This window comes from Homo sapiens, chromosome 18, assembly GCF_000001405.40.
Source record: "Homo sapiens chromosome 18, GRCh38.p14 Primary Assembly".
Taxonomy (NCBI): Eukaryota; Metazoa; Chordata; class Mammalia; order Primates; family Hominidae; genus Homo; species Homo sapiens.
In genome coordinates, this window is record NC_000018.10 from 70,369,084 (window position 1) to 70,393,056 (window position 23,973).

The 23,973-nt window shown below is 43.2% G+C and overlaps 1 long non-coding RNA gene across 1 annotated transcript, besides 1 other annotated feature; it reads right to left on the reverse strand.

The window, feature by feature from the left end:
• Positions 1 to 11,056: 11,056 nt before the first annotated feature.
• On the reverse strand, positions 11,057 to 15,508 carry LINC01910 (long intergenic non-protein coding RNA 1910). Its single transcript, NR_110764.1, has 3 exons — positions 15,388 to 15,508; positions 14,034 to 14,259; positions 11,057 to 13,346 (listed from the first exon to the last, which is right to left on the reverse strand). It is a non-coding gene; the product is annotated as a long intergenic non-protein coding RNA 1910 (long non-coding RNA).
• Positions 14,908 to 16,107: an enhancer, noted in NCBI's record as "MED14-independent group 3 enhancer chr18:68051227-68052426 (GRCh37/hg19 assembly coordinates)". NCBI's record gives its function as "activates an origin of replication core promoter dependent on BRD2, BRD4, P300/CBP and CDK7 cofactors, and independent of MED14, by STARR-seq in HCT116 cells {active_cell/tissue: HCT116}" and the evidence as "EXISTENCE:reporter gene assay evidence [ECO:0000049][PMID:35650434]".

The following is a 23,973-nucleotide window of genomic DNA, read 5'->3' on the forward strand; positions in this document are numbered from 1 at the left end:
GCAAAGATGGGTTACATCACTGGGCTGTAATGAACTGGATGGCCTTGTGGAGGAAGTAGTAGGATTTGAATCAGGTCCAGGAAAATGAATGAGTTTGAGACAGGCATAGAGGGATGAAGAGTCAGCTGAGGTGAAGGCACAACATGAACAAAATTAGGAAGTAAAGGCACCATAATGAACATTGGGTTAATTTCCTTTCCTGTGGCAGAAGATTTGGGTTGGAATTATACAAAAATAAAGGATTGTAAATCGGATAGGAATGTATGGTGGAGAAATCTGACAACCGGGGAAGGAGATTGGGTTTTATCTTGTAGATCGAGCATTCTCACCCTCGTAGTATATATGAGGATCCTGAAGGGAGCCCGATAGGAATGCAGACTTCTGGGCTTCTCAGTGACTACATCAGAAACTCCATGAGGTTTGAAGCCCTAGAACCTGCCATATTTTAAAGTTCTTGAGATGGTCCAGCCTGTGGACCAAAGTGTGGGAGCCACTATTGCAGATGATAAAGAAATGCAGGATGTTTTTGAGGCAGAAGTTTTAATGTGAATTCCAGGAAGCTTCGTTTTGCAGAAGGGAGCGTCTAAGATGACTTACTGGAGAAAAATATACCTGAGTTCAGGAGGCTAGCTGAGAAGCTGTTTCCCAGGCCCATTCATTAATATTTCCCAACAATTATTTATTAAGTACCTTCTATATGTGAGACATTGCTTTATAATATAGTCTCGAGGCTTCCATCCTTGGTGCCCATCAGAATTATCTGAGGTTTCTTAAGAGCCCAGTACCCCAGGCTGCACTCAAGGCCAATTCTCTAGGGGTGGACCCAGACATCATGATTTGTAAAAGCTGCCAAGTGATTCCAGTGCAGAGAGACCCTCTGCTGAGAGGAAACAGATGAATAAGAATTAGCGCTTCTTCCCTTCAAAACTTGCAGTCTTGTAGGGAAAATTAAACATGTGCAGCAAAGTGAACATATTTATCTGCAACAAAATGTAATCATTAGAGGAAGATTGAGATTCTGAGTACCACTTGGAAATTTGATAGACTTCATCTCTGGGTCAAAGTACTTGTCTGGATCTAGGGGGAAAAAGGAATCAAAATAGAAGTGGGAAGAATTGTTGCCCTAACAGCCCACACTGGGGTCCAAAAAATATTCTCTGAGTGCTCTGCAGGATCTTACACCCTCAGACTCCTTACTGCTCTCCCTTCTTTGTTCCATCTTAGCAAATCCAAACCTCCACTTACTTCTACCTACACATTTACAGCTGGCCATGGCTGGAGAAAAACCTGCAACCAGTTGATGGGTCTTATTTCACATTCTTGAGCACACAGTGCAAGTGGTATTGCACTCCTGCCTGGAAAGTCATCCTATTTATTTAATTTATTTATTATTTATTTTGGAGACAGTGTCTCACTCTGTCACCCAGGCTGGAGTGCAGTGGCGCGATCTGGGCTCACTGCAACCTCCGCCTCCCAGGTTGAAGCAATTCTGCCTCAGTCTCCCGAGTAGATGGGATTACAGGCACCCGCCACCACACCTAGCTACTTTTTGTATTTTAAGTAGAAACAGGGTTTTACCATGTTGGCCGGGCTGGTCTCGAACTCCTGACCTCAACTGATCCACCCTCCTCAGCCTCCCAAAGTGCTGGGATTCCTTTTAAAACTTAGGTCCTGTTACTCCTGTCCTTGAAACCCTACAATGACTACCTAGTTAACTTGGAGCAGCAGTTCTTCCAGGGTGCACATGGCCATACTGTTCTCCACTGTCCCTATGTCCCCGGCCTCCACCACACCCAGGGGCTCCCTTGCAGGGCTTGGCATCAGCTCTTCCCTTTCCCTGGAGCATATCCACTTGGCCAGCTCTCTCACTTCCTGCCACTCCTGCTTAAATATCTCAGAGAGGTCCACCCTGACCACTGACTTAAAATTGCAACTCCTCCTACCCCCAAAGGCATTTCCATCCTCTTACCCTGGTTTACTACTCTTCATAGCACTTACGTCTTTTAACATACTACGTATTTTCTTTATTCTTATATTTATTACCTGACTCTTTACTAAATGAAAGCTCTTCAGGTAGGAATTTTCTTCTGGTTGTGATCACAAATGTATCCCCAGGGCCAGAGTAGCAAGTGGTACAGGGTTAGCCCCTGGATGAATGGATCAAAGGGGAAGTGCTTCTTCTGGCCACTTTGATGCAGCCGCCTGGGGACAGAGCAAGGAACCCTGAGCCAAGAAGAGTCCTGCTTTAGGTGGGGAGGGGGTGCCTTGCCTGAGGGAGCTGCTGACAGTAGGCTCCATTGTAAGTACAAGTGGTTCCTTTTTTGAGAACACCTAGAAACACCTGGAGGTACCTCCAGGGCTGGAGGATAGGAGTAGGTTATACCAGACTGAAAGTAAGAAGTACTCTAAGAGATAAATTGCTACAGGAGTTCAGATGATCAAAGAGAGAGTGAGTCATCACTTCTGAATGACGTCTGGATGTGGAGGCAGGTGAACAAGGTAGCCCAGAAGTAGGGGAGATGGAGGATGTTAAAAGAAAAGCTTCAGCCAGGTGCGGTGGCTCACGCCTGTAATCCCAGCATTTTGGGAGGCCAAGACGGGTGGATCACTTGAGGTCGGGAGTTCAAGACCAGCCTGACCAACATGGAGAAACCCCGTCTCTACTAAAAATACAAAAAATTAGCTGAGCGTCATGGCACATGCCTGTAATCCCAGCTACTCGGGAGGCTGAGGCAGGAGAATTGCTTGAACCTTGGAGGCGGAGGTTGCGGTGAGCTGAGATCGTGACATTGCACTCCAGCCTGGGCAACAAGAGTTGAAACTCTGTCTCAAAAAAGAAAAGAAAAGAAAAGCTTCAGCCAAATTAAATTTAACAGAGTTTAATTGAGCAAAGAACAATTGGTGAATCAGGCAGCCTCCTGAGCCAGAAGTAGGCTCAGGGACTCCAGCACAACCACGTGGCAGAAGACTTATGGACAGAAAAAGGAAAGTGACATACACAAAATGGAAGTGAGGAACAGAAACAGTGGGATTGGTTACAGCTTGGTGTTTGCCTTATTTGAAGATGGTTTGAACAGTTGACCACATTTGATTGGCCAAAACTCAGTGACTGGCACAAGAGTAGGCTACAGTCTGTCTGTTTACAACTCCACTTGTTATAGTTTGCAATGTACAGAAAAACCTTTAGGCCAAACTTAAAATATGTACGGAGGCAGCTTTAGGCTAAACTTGATTTAACAAGGAAGAGAGGAGGCTGCAGGAGAGTCATGTAAATTTCAGGAACTAGCGCAATAATAGAATGATACTTGGGTGCTGGGCTCAGGACTTGAAACGCAGGTTTTTGGCTCAAATTCTAGTTTTATTTTTATCAGCTGTGTGATCACAGGTGACTTTTTAAGCTTCTTGCTCCTTGGTTTCCTCATCTGTGAAATAAGAATAGTAACAGTGCCTTCCTTATAGGGGCTTTTTGAGGATTAATGAGCTAATATATAGCAAATTTAGAACAATGCCAAACACATTGTAAACACTCAAAAAAAAATTGCTTAAAAAAGACACTCAATTTATGTTGCGCAAAAGCACTGATGGAGACAAACTATCCTGCTTCAGACAGAACGTTCCAGGATCAATTTGGTCCCAGTCAATTTACAAGGGAGTTTGTCTCATTTTTCCCCCTCATTTTCCTTCCCTCTTCTCCCCTTGTCTTCTTATGGAGCCAGTTAAAATACATATCAGGCAAAATGCAGACTCAGATGAGCAAAGGAGGAGGCTGTGCAAAGGAGAAGGCTGGGTTGTGAGCTCTGGGTCTATTTTGGAGTTCTCTGCAATAATTGCCTCTTTCTGACTTCCAGAGTCATTATATAGAAGCAGCCACCCCTTCAAATTTGTTTAAAACTTAGAGAAGTTTTGGTAACAGTAGGAGTTGAAATAAAGAACCTTATTATGAAAGAACAGACAGCCAGGCTTTGACGAGAGGCTGAAAGAGGATGAAGCAAGGAGGAGCTGAGAGCCAAGAGCGATTCTGAGGTTTTGAGCCTTTGTGACTAAGAGCATGATATATGTGGCCACTGACGCAGATTAGGAAGTCCAAGGGACAAACGATTCCCTGAGGATAATGACAAGCTTGTTTCCAGATGTGTTAACTATGAAATTCAGGTGGGTAATACAAATGGCCCGGGGTCATTGTGCAATAAGAAACTAGATGTGAATGGAGAGAACAGAGGAGACAGCAGTCTCTTAACAGTTCCTCCTCCTCTCTAGTTTATTCCCTATGCTGCATCCAGCCTCATCTTTGTAAATCACCAATCTGGTCAGGTGACACCTGTGTTTATCTAGAAAATGTACTACTCTATCTGGCTTTGTTTCTTTGGTGGATTACTCACAGTTCCCTGCAAGTCACAGTATGGATGAGCCTGAGTTTGCTTTCCTTTTTCCCCCTAATCCAGATAGGCTGCAGGTTTATCAGAGAAGATGAATTTAATTCATTCTCAACATGATGAGTGTAGATGGATGTCACAAAAACAGGTTAACAAACTCCTTGTTAGGGTAATTGTGAGGATTAAATGAATTGAAGTGACATGATAACATAATGGGATTCTACAAATTATATCTTTTATTATTTATAGCTTCCCTAGAATAAGACAGTTGCTCAGCAGAACAAACACAGCCTGGTTTTTGTCTCCTGGTAGATTCAAACCCAGTGCTGTTTGGGTCACACAGAAAAGCAGAATCTCAGAGTGTCTAATCATGTCCAGAGGAACTTTTGTATATGTACTCATCCACCTCGAAGCTTTAGTACCCTAAGTTCTATCTGATACTGAGGCTTCTCTCTTCCTTCCTTCTTCCTGATTCACTGGAGATAAACAATCAAGACGGCCTTTTCAAAATGTCCTATTTTGCCCAGAGATAGTGCAGGTCCATAGTGGGCCTATGAAGCTTAGACATCAACTTAGTTCATCATCTAGGATGTTGTGTCTGAAATGCCTAGTAGAGGTGTCCTTTTTTGTTTGTTTGTTTTTGTCTTTTCTGATAGCGAGAGTAGCTTGTGCTCTGATTTTGTCTTCATGATCCTGGAATCCTTGCTATCCCTGATTTTGAACAATTCTATTGTAAATATCACTGGTTTGAACATCAGTTGTCTGATTGGTATCTAAGTGAGATCACTTGAGGTTTTTCTGATGATGGAGGGAATCATGGAATTTAAGGATAGAAGGGATATTAAAATTTTTTCAGAGTAACATCACACACACACACATAAACACACAATTACTGGAGTGACAGCTTTGTGACAAGGTTAATCTCTGGTTAAACATTTCTGTTCTGGCCAGGCAAGGTGGCTCATGCCTGTAATTCCAGCACTTTGGTGGGAGGCTGAGGCAGGAGATCAAGGCTAGCCTGGCCAGCATAGTGAAACCCCATCTCTACTAAAATTACAAAAATTAGCTCGGTGTGGTGGCACGTGCCTGTAATTCCAGCTATTAGGGAGGCTGAGGCAGGAGAATTGCTTGAACCTGGGAGGCAGAGGTTGCACTGAGCCAAGATCATGCCACTGCACTCCAGCCTGGGTGACAGCAAGACAAGACTCCATCTCGAAAAAACAACAGCAAACGCAACAAAATATTTCTGTTCTGTAAGCATAAAGATATAATAATTACAGCCCTATGTGCAATACCAAAACCTCAGGAGTAAACAAAATATCTAGTAGAGAAATAAGTCACCATTATACAAGAAGTAGAAATTATATCTGTGGATATTTGTGAAAATATTTGTTATGATTTCAAATGAAAAAAAGCAGAATATAAACTTGCATTTATATGACTCTTGAAACTAACCATGGACAAGAAGATGGGAAAACATGGAAAATAAAAACATTGTTATGCTTGGGCTATGAGGGTAATTTTTATTCTCCTTTAAACATTTATAAATAATCTATAATTGTACATATTCAGGGTTTGTATATCAAACTAATAAAAATAATAAGTTGGTTTTATATTTTCTTTTTTTTCTGCTTGAAAACAGAAAAAGTAAAAAGGAGATATTAATTTACAGTGGAATTCTCCAGGGGTCAGAGGCGATGATAAAAAAAAAAAAAAAAGTTTTAAGTGATTGGCTTTTTGCTTTTTTTTTTTTTTTTTTTTTTTTTTTTGAGACGGAGTCTCGCTCTGTCGCCCAGGCTGGAGTGCAGTGGTGTGATCTCCGCTCACTGCAAGCTTCGCCTCCCAGGTTCATGCCATTCTCCTGCCTCAGCCTCCCGAGTAGCTGGGACTACAGGCGCCCGCCACCGCGCCTGGCTAATTTTTTTTCGTATTTTTAGTAGAGATGGGGTTCCGCCATGTTGGTCAGGCTGGTCTCAAACTCCTGACCTCAAGTGATCTGCCCACCTTGGCCTCCCAAAGTGCTGGGATTACAGGTGTGAGCCACCGCGTCTGACCTCTGGTATTTCTTAAGTAGCAAATGTACATCCTATTTAGGTGCTGAATTAAGTAAAGTGCAAGTAAAAAAAAAATTAGTTTTAGTCTAAATTGGTTGTAAACCTAGGCATCTAGGGAAAGTTGTACCAGAGAGTACAACTCTGTACCCTTCAGAATAATTCAACGTAATTTTATTAACACCCTCTTGGCACTTGGTTAATTGGATAAATGAAAAGAACTTGTAATCTCCACTGTAAAGTAAAGTTGTAACCAATGATTTGGCTTTTCCATTTGGTTAAACTTTGCTCTCATCTTAGTGCAAATTGTCACTCTGCTGCGTATTCCTGTTTCCTCTTTGCTGACATTTTCCTTGCTAATGATACAAGAGTTAAAAAGAAATCACTTAGGCAGATAACGAAGGTATGGGAGTCTTCAGTAAGGCTTTGTTTTCTTTTTCATGAAAAGCAGCCCAGATCATTTTTTAATAAAGAGCAGCCTATGAAGTCGAGCTCAGGGTATAGACCCCAGACAACGTAGCCACTTCACTAGGGAGGTGACCAGTTCATGGGACTGCTGACTTTACCATTTGGCCCAGAGGGACAGGCAAGTGAATGCCTGCAGGAACTAGGGAGTAGACATGTTCAAGATGGCGGCGCCATCCTCCCTTCCCTTTGTCAGTCACATGTGCAGTAAAGACCAGATAAGATGGCACCCATCAACTGGAAAGCCCATTTGCATAATAAAATTATCGTGGCGCGACCAGCCTTCCCCACACACTATCTAAACGTCATACCTGATCAAACCAATCTGTGAACCCTATGTAAATCAGACACGGCTTCCTCAAACCTGACTGGTCCTTTCCACTGGGAGACCCCCTTGTCTATGGAGAGATCTGTTTTTCTTTCTCTTCTGCCTATTAAACATTTGCTCCTAAACTCCTTGTGTGTGTCCATGTCCTACATTTTCCTGTCGTGCAATGACGAACCTCGGGGTATAGACCCCAGACAACGTAGCCGCTTCACTAGGGAGGTGACCAGTTCATGGGACTGGTGACTTTACCATTGGGCCCAGAGGGACAGTAACTGAAAGGGCTCTTTTATTCAGTGTCAGCTGGTGGATACATCTGCCTACAAAAAATGTGAAGTCAAACTGAATCTCTTTGAGGTGACTAGAGCAGAGCTGGGAACAGAGAAGTAGAGCATGAAACGTTTTGAAATAATTTGAAATTTTGCCACTATGTTTTTTAATAAAACTATTTTAATAAAGACTGTTTTTAAGTAAAAAACCCAACAATCAAATAGGCTTAAAAATATCAATTCATTCTCTAAAGGCAAATTAATTCGATACTTAAGGAAATGCAAAGGAAAGGGCACTTCAGACTACACAGATATCCAAGCATATAGGTGGCTGCATGTTACGTTATAGCTTAATGGCCTGGTTTAAACAGTCCTGGATAATGATTAACCAAGAAAATGGACTTTGGGCCTGAACCTAACTCTCCTAAGGTTGTGGGCATTTGTACCGATGTAACAGTGTTGCTAGATCAACGGGAAAAACATTTCCAACGAGACAGAAAAACACATTTACTGCTGTCTCCACCCTCTCACTCCAGGGTCCATCTGTGTGTTTGGAGAATGGAAACACTTAGATTGGTTGCTACGGTCTTGAACATGTCATTTAGATTTCCTTGATAAAAGAAAACTCATTCCTCTTTTATTTTCTCTTCCCAAAGTGCATGATCCATGTGCTTGCTCTTCCTCCCTCCCCACCACACCTACTCCTTTTGATTTGTTCATTTATTTTTATTTATTAATTTTTTTAACTTCCATACTTGGTATCTGGGACAGCTCATGCAACTACACTGCAACATAGCTGCACGGTGTGGCTGACACATCTTCCCAGTGAAGCCCCTTCTACGGCTTCAGTCCTGATCTTTTAAGTGTTTGGTAAATGAGGCAGCCTGGCATAAGGTCCTAATGTCGAAAGAGTTCAAAAGGAAAGTTATTCGTGCAAACATCCTCCCTCTCGCAGAGGATTCTCCATAGCCCGCCAGAGCCCTGGCATGTAGGGATGATGAATGTGATGTCAACAGGCCTCAGGGCCGGAAGAACCCCTGTGCCACTTTGTGGACTGTGTATCGCCTTTTGCTTGTCTCCTGCCAGATTCCTTCCCTGGTCCTCTGAGACTCCAGAGAGTGTGTGGGAAGCAATTTTTGTACACAGACCCAGATTAATGTGTCTGTCTGATAAAAGCATGAGGCTTAAGGTGACTCTAGCATTTTCCTTCCCCAAAGTTAGCAGTTTTGTTAGTGGAAATACATCTATACCTATCAATTAAGTTATAGCCTGGAAGATACGTGATGAAATGCTTCTGAGTGAGAATAGCCTCAAATTTGACTGGAGAAAACCAGAGATCCCATTCATGATTAGGAAGCACCAAGCCAGGTCAGCTTGGAGGTGAATTGATTTCACCACGTCTATTAGTTTACTAGGCTGCTGTAACAAAGTACCATGAACTGGAAGGCTTACAACAACAAAAACTTTTTTTCACATTGCTGGAAGCTGGGAAGTCCAAGATCAAGGCAGATCTGGCGCCTGGTGAGGGCCTGCTTCCTGTTTCATAGACGGTGCCTTCTGATTATAACCTCATGTGGTGCTAGCAAGGAGCTCTCCGTGGGCTCTGTTATAATAAGGGCACTAAGCCCATTCACAAAGGCTTCACCCCCATGACCTAATTACCTCCCAAAGGCCCACCTCGTAATACCATCACCTTGAGGGGTTAGGATTTCAGTATGGGAAGAACTAAACATTCAGACATTCAGGCCACAGCAATAAGATGTCTATAGCAATCCACGCCTTCATTCTCCAACCCCCACTGCTCCCTGAGTGCATGTACGTCTGGGCATCAGTGCTCTTTGGAAGTGTTTAGCTGAATGTAAAGGTTAATGGCACCTTATCCAGGGAACAGCTGTTGTAGTCCCTGTCAGCCCGATTCTGGAGAGAACAGATAACAGATAGTGTTTAAGAAGTAGGATGGTCTCTAAGTTAAATGACTGTCCCTGTCCCACAGCATCCGTGTGTGACCAGGGCTCACACCCTTTTTTTTTTTTTGAAACGGAGTTTCACTCTTTTTGCCCAGGCTGGAGTGCAATGGCACGGTCTTGACTCACTGCAACCTCCGCCTCTCGGGTTCAAGCAATTATCCTGCCTCAGCCTCCAAAGTAGCTGGGATTACAGGCGCCCGCCACCCTGCCCGGCTAAGCGTACACCCTTTGAATTTCCCCCTTTCCCTCTGCTTCTATGAGAACTTGGCTAACTCCTGGTAGATTCCATCATCCCTGCACCAGTTCGTAACTTCTGACAGATTCCACAATGCCAGGTCTTGAGAAATGGGAACCTGTATCTCATCAGGTTTCCTCCTTTAAAAGTTCAGATCGGCATTTTATCTTACTTTTTAAAAAGATCGAATTTGGTAATGTTCAAGAAATAAAAAACTTTTAGCCAATTTATGCTGATCAGTATAAAGTTGTGTTTGACTTACAATAAATGTTAAGTTAAAACATGCTATCAAGCTTAAATATAATCATAAAGGTTTTAAATAGGAGAGAATACATATATTTTGTAGAATAGAAAGTTATCTTTGTATACCAAGTCCGGCTTCATACATATTTGAATATATATTTATGTGCGCGTGTGTATAGATGTTTATATACATCTACATATTATAATGATATTTTGGGCAGGGTGAAAGTTATCTCTGTACACTAAGTCCAGCTTCATATATATATATACACACACACACACACACACATATTCGAACATATATAGATGTATACACACACACACACAGACAAATATATAGAGAGAGTCTACCTGACCTGTCAGTTTGAGAGAAGTATATAATACAATACTGTAGACCAGGGCTTCTCAGTCCTGGCACCGTTGGCATTTTGCATCATGTACTTCTCTGTGTGGGTTGTGGGGCTGTCCTGGCATTTCAGGGGTTTAGCGGCACCCCTGGCTTCTACCCACCAGCTGCCAGTAGCACCTTCCTCCACCCTGTCCAATTTGTGAGGACCAAAAATGTCTCCAGTTGTTGCCAATGTCTCATGGGAGGACAAAATTGCTCAGAGTAAGAACTACCAGTCTGCAGTGATCACAGTTACACTAAATTATCTGTGTATTCTCAGAGTTGTTTTTTTTTTTTTTTTTTTTTTTTTTGAGACACGGTTTCACTCTGTCGCCCAGGCTGGAGTGCAGTGGCATGATCTCAGCTTACTGCAACCTCCGCCTCCCAGATTCAAGCGATTCTCCCACCTCAACCTCCCAAGTAGCTGGGATTACAGGCATGTGCCACCACACCTGGCTCATTTTTGTATTTTTAGTAGAGATGGGGTTTCACCATATTGGCCAGGCTGGTCTCGAACTCCTGGCCCCAAGTGATCCACCCACCTCGGCCTCCCAAAATGTTAGGATTACAGGCGTGAGCCACCAGGCCAGACCAGAGTTTTTGTCATATATATTTACCACTATGCTATTTAGTACCTAAAGGTTCATCACGATAATATTTTTTTCATGGCTTTTTTTTTATCATTACCAAGTCACTCTCTGACTTTTTAAATTAAACGCCATATTATCTTTTCATGAATATTGCTATTTCCACTACTTTTATTTGCGTTTTCCTGAATAAATTATGGCTCATCCCTTTACTTTCAACCCCTTAATACAGTTCCTAGTTCAACATTTCCACCACTACTGCCGCACGTAACTTAGCCTTCTGCAGATGTTGTAAAGCTGAATCCATTTCAACCACAGTTCTTTGTAAGCACGGGCAGAGTCGTGCTGTTAATAGGGAAAGCACCTTTTTTGGCCTCTCATCTTAGTCAGTTTTGGCTGCTACAACAAAGTACCCCAGCGTGGTTTATAAACAATAGAAATATATTTCTCCGATTTTGGAGGCTGGAATTCTGAGATTGGGGTGCAGCAATGTCAGGTTCTGATAAGGGTCCTCTTCTGGCTTGCCGGCTAGTTGTGCACTCACAAGAGGAAGGAGGGCATAAGAGCTCTTTAGGGTCCCTTTGGCAAGGTCACTAGTCCCATTGACAAGGGCTTCTCTCTCATGACCTAATCATCTTCCAGGGGCTTCACCTCCTCATACCATCGCAGTGGGGGGTTAGGGCTTCAACATATGAATTTTGGGTGGACACAACCCTTCAGTCCATAAGGCCTCACCTTGTGTACTGATATTGAGCTGTATTACTGAAAATTTGAGAATCTTGTATCCTACAATTTTCTGCTCTTAATGTATTTGTTGGACTTTAAGTAGAATACATTAGGTATAATATTCTTTTCAGTGGAATTATTTCTGATGTTTGATGCTGCCAAAGGAAAAAAATAGATTCTTTCTAACCCCAGTGAATAAGACACTTGATTTTTGAATCTGCTTGTCTGGGAAACAGGATGGGTACAGCAATGCTGCACTCAGGTGCAGCCCCACTCCTCCTACTTGCCTCTGATTTTGTGCTTAGGGCGAAAAGCTTCTGAGAATGCAGTCTCTAGAAATGAACACGGCTTCCGTGCACTGAAAATCTTACTGAAAAGCTCCTTTTGTTTCTGGGATATACCAGATGGAGTGTTCTCTGTACAAACAAACATTCAAAATCCTTGAGAAGAGATATGTAGGTTACAGTTTAACATTCACTATCTCCACTAGGAAGGGGACAAATTCCTGAGGCAAAGGAGTTGCAATAGAAATTCTTGAAATTTAGGTCGGGCATGGTGGTTCACGCCTGTAATCCCAGCACTTTGGGAGACTAAGGCGGGCGGATCACCTGAGTTCAGGAGTTTGAGACCAGCCTGACCAACATGGAGAAACCTCATCTCTACTAAAAATACAAAATTAGCCGGGCGTGGTGGCTCATGCCTGCAATCCCAGCTACTCGGGAGACTGAGGCAGAAGAATAGCTTGAACCAGGAGGCGGAGGTTGCGGTGAGCCGAGATTGCGCCATTGCACTCCAGCCTGGGCGACAAGAGCAAAATTCCGTCTCAAAAAAGAAAGAAAGAAAGAAAAGAAATTCTTGAAATTTAAAGAGTACGGCGAATGTTCCATTCATTTAATCTTGGGTAATGAATTGGAGGTGCCCTTCCTGGTCCCGCCCCAAGGGTCCACCCCTTCTGCTAGGACTGGTTTCCGCCCACTCATCTGTCATCTTGCTCAGTTGTCACCTACACAAAGCCTTCCTTTCTTCTCCGCAGGCAGCGCTGACGGCTTCCTCTTCACTGTCCCCAGCTCTTTTTGTGTGCTACATTTAGAATGAAACAAATTGTTCTGTAATGATTTGTTTACATATCTGTCTCTCCCAGTAGGTGATGAGCTCTTTGGAGTCAGGGACCACATCTTCATCATTTTCAGACACCCATCTCCTTTTGTTGAAGAAATCTTTGAGTCTATTTTCAGATCTTTCTGAACTCCTTTTAGAGATTCCCATTGTCGGTAGCATAAACTCCAAACTTCGCTTCTGTGCCTTGACAGAATATTTACAGCTCTCCGAAGACTCTGGGCTCTCAATCCCCTTTCTTCTTTTACCAATAATGTTCCCTTTGCTTGGAATACATCTGCCCAAACACTAAACATCAACTACCCTTTCTTTGTTCTGGGTTAACTCTTCCTCATTCTCAAGATGGGTGAGAGCACACCCTGGGTGTTGCGACAGTATTCTGTGATTTTCCCAATATATCATTTAGCACTCGCTGTTATGATCACCCACTTACGAGTCTGCCTCGCCCTCGAGGCTGGATGGTGCTGGAGTTGCTGTATGCAGTTTCCCTGCCTCCTAGCAGAGGGCCTGGTACTCAGTCAATGTTAGTAGGATTATGTTTCTTACAAAAGCCGCATAAAATATCTTGAAGCTTCATAGTAATATAGAAAGAGTGTGTAATCTGAAATAGAAATATTGAGTTCTTGTCCAGATTCTGCTATTTACAACTGGGGAGGAAAATAAAATATAAAAGTTTGTCTACGTTTAGAAGAGCAGACATAAGTAAAGAAAACAGTGAAGAAACAGACAGGCTAGCTTAGCAGCAACTGGGGTTGACAAGGTACAACAGGAGAGGCCAGGCGCGGTGGCTCACGCCTGTAATCCCAGCATTTTGAGAGGCCGAGGCGGCGGGTGGATGGTTTGAGTTCAGGAGTTCCAGACCAGCCTGGCCCACATGGTGAAACCCCATCTCTATTAAGAATACAAAATTAGCCAGGAGTGATGGTGCACGCCTGTAATCCCAGATACTCGGGAGGCTGAGGCAGGAAAATCGCTTGAGCCTGGGAGGTGGAGGTTGCAGTGAGCCAAGATCGTGCCACTGCACTCCAGCCTGGGTGACAGAATGAGACTCTGTCTCAAAAAAAAAAAAAACAAAAAAAAAACACAAAAAACAAAAAACAACAGGAGGGAAAGGGGCATCAGCTCCTCGTGTTACCAAATGGCCTGGCAATGCAGGAACAAGTACGGGCCTCTGGCCCAGGCAGATGGGCGACACCAAGATGGCCCCAGGGAAGAAAGGAAAGAAAAGAATTGGAGTTTGATTTTGGATAAAGAGAGGATCTCAAGCCTGAGGTTTATTTATTTGTACCTATGCCTGCTGTTTATTCCCTGGTGAAGCTGCTGGAACAAATCTGCGTCCGCCTCGTGTGGCCTCGCTGCATGGAAGGGAGACAGCAGAGCTCATGCTTTGGCGAGGCTTTCCACATGTTGGAAATGTGACAGCTGCCTGGACTGCTCGTCCTGGTCTTTGGCAACACTGACCACCTGTGTGTGAAGCAGCAGGTCATTCAGTGTCTTTGAGCCTCAGGATTTCTCTGTAAAAATGAGGATATATATTCACAATATGAATCTCAGACAATATTAGCTTTGAAGTTTTTAGATATAAAATTGTTTATGCCATCTGTCCATGGCCACTCATAGAATTAAATGAAGATCTAGGAGGGCAGGCGTGTGTCTGAGGCCCTCTGTGTCCCCATGGAGCTGTCCAACCTTGCTGTCACACACAGTCAGTGTTTTAAAATGGAATTGACTCCTTGACGATGTGCTGCCGTTTCTCTTTCAGTCTCTCTCTCATGGTTTAGATACCTCGAGCCTAGATGGCCAGGGCAGTGCATTGCGTGCAGTGCAGACAGATGAGCATTCAAAAGGTGGCACGGTGGGGGCTCCTGGACATTGCATGGGCTCTGGAGTCAGAATGAATTCTGTCCTTGCTCTGTGTGACCTTCAGCAAGCCTTGTATTACTTCTCCAAACCTCGGATTACTATCTGCAGTATGAAACTAACAAAGCACCAGGCGGAGTGCTGTGGCTCATGCCTGTAATCCCAGCACTTTGGGAGGCCGAGGTGGGCAGATCACGAGGTGAGGAGATCAAGACCATCCTGGCCAACATGGTGAAACCCCGTCTCTATTAAAAATACAAAAATTAGCTGGGCATGGTGGCAGGCACCTGTAATCCCAGCTACTCGGGAGGCTGAGGCAGGAGAATCGCTTGAACCCGGGGGGGCGGAGCTTGCAGTGAGCCGAGATCGTGCCACTGCACTCCAGCCTCCAGCCTGGTAACAGAGCGAGACTCCGTCTCAAAAAAAAAAAAAAAAAAAAAAAAAGAAGAAAAAAAAGAAAAGAACAAAGCGCCTACCTCCTGCATGATGTGGGGAGTCTCTGGGCCGATGCATGTAAAGCACTTCCCTGCAGGCAACACCCCAGCATAATCAGCAGGCAGTGGATGCCGGTAACCCTGGCTCCTCAGTGAGTCCTGATGTGCACATGGGAAGTGGTTATTGTTATCCCTGCTTTGCATGTGAGGAGAATGAGCCTTTTCATTAAGTGGCTGATTTGGGATTTTTTTTTTTTTTCTCAAGACAAGGTCTCACTCTGTCGCCCAGGCTGGAATGCAGTGGTACAATCATGACTCACTGCAACTGTAACCACCCAAGGGGCTCACCTTGCCCGCTGCCTAGACAGAGCTGATTCATCAAGCCAGGGGAATTGCAATAGAGAAAGAGTAATTCATGCAGAGCTGGCTGTGCAGAAGACTGGAGTGTTATTATTACTCAGATCAGTCTCCCTGAGCATTCGGGGAGCAGAGTTTTTAAGGATAACTTGGTGGATGGGGGAAAGCCAGTGAGCCAGGAGTGCTGATTGGTCAGAGATGAAACCACAGGGAGTTGGAGCTGTCTTCTTGCGCTGAGTCAGTTCCTGGGTGGGGCAGAGGGGCACAAGATCAGATGAGCCAGTTTATTGATCTGGGTGGTGCCAGCTGATCCATCAAGTGCAGTGTCTGCAAAATATCTCAAGCACTGATCTTAGGAGCAGTTTAGGGAGGGTCAGAATCTTGTAGCCTCCAGCTGCATGGCTTCGAAACCATAATTTCTAATCTTGTGGCTAATGTTAGTCTTACAATCTTGTCCCCACACAAGAAGGAGGTCTGCTTTAGGAAAGGGCTGCTACCGTCTTTGTTTAAACTATAAACTAAATTTCTCCCAAAGTTAGTTCAGCCTACACCCAGGAATGAACAAGGACAGCTTGGAGGTTAGAAGCAAGGTGGAGTCAGTTAAGTTAGATCTCTTTCAGTGTCTCAGTGTCTCAGTCATAATTTTGCAAAGGCGGTTTCAATACCTCAGCTTCCCAGGCTCAAGTGATCCTCCTGCCTCAACCTCTCGCATAGCTGGGACTAGACATGTGGACAACCACACCCGGCAATGTTTTATTTTTTGCGGACATGGGGTTTCACTATATTGCCCGGGCTGCTCTCGAATTTCTGGGCTCAAAGGATCTTCCTGCCTCAGCCTCCCGAAGTGGTGGGATTATAGGCATGAACCACTGCGCCCAGCTTGATTTGGGTTTTGAACACAGTTCTGTCCGACCCCTTGAGAGGAGCACTTTTCACAGTGCCATACTGAATGAGAAGTAATCCTTAAACTTAAGGGAATTCCTTTCGACTGTGGAGAAGCCATTGCCCTTCTTTTCTTCTTCCTTGCCTTCAAGGAAGTTCTTCTTTTGTACTAGAACCCCAATGTGATCAGGGCCTTTTTTCCTATCCATGGCCAGGCTCTCAGGGACAGTGATCCTATTTCCCCCAAGCATAAGTCCTGGTGAGTCTAAGTCAGCTGTAATGATAATGATCACATTGTCTCTGGGGAACAGGCTCATGGCAGTTCTGGGGGAGTTGAGAGGAGGAGTCTTTGGGTCAAAAAATAAACACAGCTGGTAATGACCCAACAGAATGGTGGAGAGAATCTGAGTCCTTGAAGTTGCTGTGGATTTGTTTAATAAAACCATTCTGCAACCCACTACCCCACCTATTTTTATGTCACATAATAGGACTTTTTGTTAGGTGAGATAATACGATTCACTTAAAGTTATTTTATTATTATTATTATTATTTTTTTTTTTGAGACAAAGTTTCGCTCTTGTTGCCCAGGCTGGAGTGCAATGGTGCGATCTTGGCTCACCGCAACCTCTGCCTCCCTGGTTCAAGGATTCTCCTGCCTCAGCCTCCCGTGTACCTGGGATTACAGGCATACACCACCATGCCCGGCTAATTTTGTATTTTTAGGAGAGACGGGGTTTCTCCATCTTGGTCAGGCTGGTCTTGAACTCCTAACCTCAGGTGATCTGCTCACCTCAGCCTCCCAAAGTGCTGGGATTATAAGGTGTGAGCCACCACACCCGGCCAAAGTTATTTTTAATTAGGATTTATTTTATATTTATTTGTCTGTCAGTATCCACGGGGGATTGGTTTCAGGACCTCCCTCGGATTCCAAAATCCGCAGATGCTCAAGTCCCTGGTATAAAATGGTGCAGTATTTGCACATAACAACCTACGCACATCCTCCTGTATACTTTAAATCATCTTTAGATTATTTACAATGCCTAATACAATATAATTGCTATGTAAATAGTTGTTATACTGTATTGTTACGGAATAATGATTAAGGAAAAAAAGTCTGTACATGTTCAGTACTGTCACAACCATGCATTTTCTTTCGCAAATATTTTTGATCTGTGGTTGTTTGAATCTGTGGATGCAGAACCCAAGAATATGGAGGGCTAACTGTATTTACAGCCAAAAGTATCTCAATGGATTGATCATCACAGGAATCAGTCAGGAGGGCTGATTAATGTCGTCAAATCTTTGAGGGATTTGTGAACACCAGAATCACCATTTCAGATCTGCAATAGGCGATCTGTGAGTGAATTATGACCTTTTGGGCTTGGAGGAATGAGAGGTCATCAAGCCTAGTGTTTACCAAATCTTTTTTTTTTTTTTTTTTTTTTTAATGACCTAGACTCAGAAGTCATAGAGCCTCCATTGAGCCATGCTTTATTGGTAAAGACAGTCATAAAGCTCTATTCAGGCTGAACGCAAAGAACACAGACCCTGCCACTCTATGGGAGGAGAGTTCATGTCACACTGTAGAAGAGTGTCTGCCACAGTGAACAAATTTTTACCAATTTATGGTTGGATGACAACAATCAAATCAAATTATTTCTATTCGGAGGACAATTTAGAGGACAGTCCATTATTCTGAGCTGAAGTTCTGGTGCTAAAATATCTATATTTAGTGAAATGGTGATAATTGTATATCATTTTGTGATTCATTTTGTAAATGTACTTACTGTGCAAACATAAAATGCTGGTGACTTAAGGTCAGTCCCCAGGGTTTTGTGAAATTCAGAATTTGCCAATTTGATTGCATCCACTTTTCTACTGAGTGTTGTGAGGACATTTGCAGCATTCCCCGTAGTGATCATTTATTCTCTGGACACTCCTGGTGACCTCAGTCTCTCCCTCATTGAAAGATTTATCACTCTCATTGCCAACAATCCTTACCAGTGTAAAGTTCTTACTGTCTGCCCTGCTGATCTGAAATCTTTCCTCTATTCATTTAACAGGCTTTCTACTTTCAGCACCCCACCATTAGGTCTTCCTTTTTTAGGTTGAACAATCTTAATTCCTATACATATTCTTTATGTGACCCAGTCAGTATATTGGGTTCCAGGTAAGCTTGTGTATAATGGTGATTATATAGCTTGAATGTTCGTCCCCTCAAAAGCTCGTGTTAAAATGTCATCCCCAGTGTTGGAGGTGGGGCCTGGTGGGAAGTGTTTGGTTAGAGGGGTGGGTCCCTCACAGATGGCTTGGTGTCTTCCCCCTGGTAATAAGTGAGTTCTTACTCTGTTAGTTCACGGGAGAGCTGGTGGTTTAAAAGAGCCTGGCATCTCTCTTTGGCTCCTCTCTCACCATGTGACATACATGCTCCCCCATTGCCTGCTGCCATGTTTGGAAGCTTCCTGAGGCCTCACCAGAAGCAAATGCCGGCACCACATTTCTTGTACAGTGTGAAGAACCATGAGCCAAATAAACCTCTTTTTTAAATAAATTACCCAGTCCCACGTATTCCTTTTTAGCAACAAACGCCAATAAATACAGGTAGTATTACTCCAGTCTTATAGGATCTCAATAGTCTCAATTTGTTTATCCTGGAATTATGATCTTCAAGGTATCTGTTGGCTGTAAATCTGTGTTTTTCAATGCTGTCGATGCACTTCTAGAGACACTACAGTTTGGTAGTGTTCTTCCTTAACAGGTGATTACAACAGAAAACATGTTCTGAGGAATACTGAACATAATGACTCTATACTACCTTTAACAAATATACCATACTTCTTCTTCTTTTTTTTTTTTTTTGTGATGGAGTCTCAATCTGTCACCCAGGCTGAAGTGCAATGGTGCGATCTTGGCTCACTGCAACCTCCGCCTCCTGGGTTCAAGCAATTCTCCTGCCTCAGCCTTGTGAGTAGCTGGGATTACAGGCACCCACCACCACACCCGGCTTATTTTTGTATTTTTAGGAGAGACGGGGTTTCGCCATGTTGGTCAGGCTGGTCTCGAACTCTTGACCTCATGATCCGCCCACCTCAGCCTCCCAAAGTGCTGGGATTACAGGCATGAGCCACCGCGCCCAGCCAATAAATAAACTATACTTCTATGAATATATCCTAAAACTCTTACTTCGAAAAAAACTATGTATGACATGGAGATGGTACATATTAAATAGGTAATTAATTTTTTAAATAGCAAAATGAATAGCACATATTTTTATTTAATATAAAAATTAGAGCTTCCCATTATTCTGCTGTTTTCTGAGGAGTCTTCACATTAAGCTAAAGGTAGATTTTTTTTTTCCATAAATTATTGGGGTACAGGTGGCATTTGGTGACATGAGTAAATTCTTTAGTGGTGATTTGTGAGATCCTGGTGCACCCATCACCTGAGCAGTGTATACTGCATCGTATGTGTTGTCTTTTATCCCTTGCCTCCCTCCCACTCTTCCCGCCAAGTCCCCCAAGTCCATTGTATCATTTTTTTTTTTTTGAGACAGAATTTCACTCTTGTTGCCCAGGCTGGAGTGCAATGGCGCGATCTTGGCTCACCGCAACCTCCACCTCCCGAGTTCAAGTGATTCTCCTGCCTCAGCCTCCCTAGTAGCTGGGATTACAGGCATGTGCCACCCACGCCCAGCTAATTTTGTATTTTTAGTAGAGATGGGGTTTCTCCATGTTGGTCATGTTGGTCTCGAACTCCCGACCTCAGGTGATCCACCCACCTTGGCCTCCCAAAGTGCTGGGATTACTGGCATGAGCCACCGTGCCCGGCCCATTGTATCTTTCTTATGCCTTTTTGTCCTCATAGCTTAGCTCCCACATATCAGTGAGGACACACTATGGGGTTTTCCATTCCTGAGTAATATGTAGTTAATTTTAAACCTACATTAAAAAAATGTAAGTTTTTAGTTTTCTTCAAGTTTTGTCTTTATGCAATTGAATATTTTTACCTTAAATTTTCTACTTTACCTTTATTCCTATTTTAATCACTAATATTTACTATTCTTATCACTACTATTGCTGCTAAATATTAATAATAATGCATTTCTATTGCTAGTTTTTGTCCCTCAGTTTCTTCTCTCCAGGTACAGTTGGTTCGGGTGCCTTCCTCTATACTTCTCTCTCTTTTTTTTTTTTTTTTTGAGATGGAGTCTTGCTCTGTCACCCAGGCTGGAGTGCAATGGCATGATCTCGGCTCACTGCAAGCTCCATCTCCTAGGTTCAAGCGATTCTCCCGCCTTAGCCTCCTGAGTAGCTGGGATTATAGGCACCCACCATCATGCCTGGCTAATTTTTGTATTTTTAATAGAGACAGGGTTTTACCATGTTGGCCAGGCTGGTCTTGAACTCCTGACCTCATGTGATCTGCCTGTCTCAGCCTCCCGAAGTGCTGGGATTGCAGGTGTGACCCACCGCGCCTGGCCTTTTTTTTTTTTTTTTTTTTTTGAGATTGAGTTTCACTCATGTTGCCTAGGCTGGACTGCAATGGTGCGATCTCGGCTCACTTCAGCCTTGCAACCTCTGCCTCTTGGGTTCAAGAGATTCTCCTGCCTCAGCCTCCCAAGTAGCTGGAATTAAAAGTATGTGCCACCACACCCAGCTAATTTTGTATTTTTAGTAGAGATGGGGTTTCACTATGTTGGTCAGGCTGGTCTCGAAATCTTGACCTCAGGTAATCCACCCGCCTTGGTCTCAAAGTGCTAGGATTACAGGCGTGAACCACTGCGCCAGGCCTTGATTTTTGCTTCCTTTGCAAATTTGACATAATCATCCTGTAAATCTTCATCTAAGTCATTAACTGAAATTCTGAGCAGGATGGGCTTGAGTACAGAATTCTGGCTCACTTCTCTGGCTGATTAACACTAACTGGGTGGATTTGTCCATGTGGCTTTAAGTGCACCTTAATGCATTACCATGTTAAATACCTTTTTGAAATTAAGACGTCCTAGGCTGGACATCCTCCAGATTCTACCTGTCTATCTTTTCGTTGCCCAGAAGCCATAATATGTGAACTGGCTGACTTGTTTTTGGTGGTGATTTAAGGTTGCCAAGCAGGAGTTTCAGAGCCAAATGTTGCACATGTAATTCTAGAGTTTGGACAGCTAAAAATTATCGGCAAATGTTTAACAACACATTTAACCACCAAACATGAAATGAAGTCATGGATGTTTGGGTGACAAGTGAATCAACCCATGGAACAGCTTGAAAAAAGAAAGAACCTAGTAATCCTAGTAATGTCAAGGGCAGGAGACAGAGGTGGGGACAGCTGAATTTTATTATTCCTGTGCCTCCATGAATGTCCATGCTGATATGGTCTAGGGAGACATAAAGACTTAAGTAGCTCTAGTTTAAACTGTGATATTCTGATATGACATTTTCACATTCATCTTAGTATTCCACCATGTTCATAGTCCCAACTAGTTCTGAGTCACTCAGAATTAATTCCAGATTGATGATGGCTTTACTATGTTTTCAAACATTTAATTGATGAATTATCTTCACGGTATTTCTTAAGGCATGTCAAGTATTTATCAGAGGTTTTGCTTTTAGAAAAAAATGAATCTAATGGTTAAAATTTTTTTTCCGTGAATTGTATCTTGGCACTTTATACCCTTTTTTTTTTTTTTTTTTTTTTTTTTTGTAGAGACAGGGTCTCACTATGTTGCCCAGGCCAGTCTCAAAATCCTGCCTCAAGCAGTCCTCCTGCCTTGGCCTTCCAAAATGCTCGGATTATAGGCGTAAGTCACTGCAGCTGGCCCAGCCATTTTTGTGATTTATTGGAAAAATATTGTTATGTATTTATAATAATAAGGTAAGAGGTCTGTCAGACACTGCTACAGTCACTTCTCTGTCTCTCTTTAGCACTAGCCCAATATTCTGCATTGTTTTTGCACGCACCTGCACGTTAGAATATTGCTCTCTCTGTACTTTAGCACACAGTATTACTTTAAAATTCTTTCTTCTTCTTTTTTTTTTTTTTTTTTGAGACGGAGTCTTGCTCTGTCACCCAGGCTGGAGTGCAGTGGCGCATCTCGGCTCACTGCAAGCTCTGCCTCCCGGGTTCACGCCATTCTCCTGCCTCAGCCTCCCGAGTAGCTGGGACTACAGGCGCCCGCCACCACGCCCGGCTAATTTTTTCCATTTTTTTTTTCTAGTAGAGACGGGGTTTCATGTTCTAGCCAGGGTGGTCTCCATCTCCTGACCTCGTGATCCGCCCGCCTCGGCCCCCCAAAGTGCTGGGATTACAGGCGTGAGCCACGGCGCCCAGCCTCTTTCTTCCTTTTTAAAAAATTGAGTATATACGCTTCCATTTCTACATTCCAGAAAGAAGTAGCAGATACTCAGTAAATTTCTGTTAGCAATTCTCTATTGTTTAGCAAAACTATAGTTTCATTATATAGCTTTATATAATTTTAATAAGACTGCATTAGTTTTGGCCGGGCGCGGTGGCTCACGCCTGTAATCCCAGCACTTTGGGAGGCCGAGGCGGGCGGATCACGAGGTCAGGAGATCGAGACCACCCTGGCTAACATGGTGAAACACCCTCTCTACTAAAAACACAAAAAATTAGCCGGGCATGGTGGCGGGCGCCTGTAGTCCCAGCTACTCGGGAGGCTGAGGCAGGAGAATGGCGTGAACCCGGGAGGCGGAGCTTGCAGTGAGCAGAGATCGCGCCACTGCACTCCAGCCTGGGCGACAGAGCAAGACTCCGTCTCAAAAAAAAAAAAAAAAAAAAAAAGACTGCATTAGTTTTTAATGTAGTTTGCTATAGTTGCAAATTTTTTTTTGCTGACTTAATGTGTACTTGAGTTTAGGCGAGGAAGAGCTCTTTTTTGGTACCACCCTGGAGTTTTTTATTTATTGTTTAAATTTTTTTTATTTTTTGCACAATTTGTTTTTCCTACTTTGGATAAATTCACATCTACATGAATTTTTCATTTTTGTTTGTGTGATTTTCACGGTTTTTTCTGCTATTTGGATATTTCTAAGAGTTGAGTCATGTCCCTTAGGTTTTAAAAATTTATTTTTGAGGTTAAGTGTTTTCTTTCAAAAACACTTTATTTAATTTTAATCAGTCTCACGTGGGTTATCTCTATGGGCCATTCTCAGACCTAATGCCATAACAAAGTTCCATCAGCTTGGTGGCTTAATACAACAGAAATGTATTGTCTCACCATTATGGAGTCCAGAAATGTGAAATGAAGGCGTTGGTGGGGGCATGCTCCCACTATAGCCTCCAGGGAAGAAGCTTTCTTTGCCTTCTGTAGCTTCTGGTGAATCCTGGTGATTCCTGGTGTTCCTGGCCTGTAGCTTCATCACACTGATCTCTGCCTCCATCTTCACAGGGCCATCTTCTTCATGCCTCCTCCATATCTCTGCATCCAGTTCTCCCTTTTTTTTCTCTTCTGAAGATGTCAGTCATTGGATTTAAGGCCCACCCTAACCAGTATGACCTCATCTTGATTACATCTGCAAAGACCCTATTTCTAGATAGGGTCACATTCACTGGCACAGGGGTTAGGACTTCAACATCTTATCAGGGGACACAGGTCAAGTCACTACACTAAGTTACTTCATGCTAACTTAGTCACTACACTGTTATTTCATTAAAAAAAAAAAATATATATATATATATATG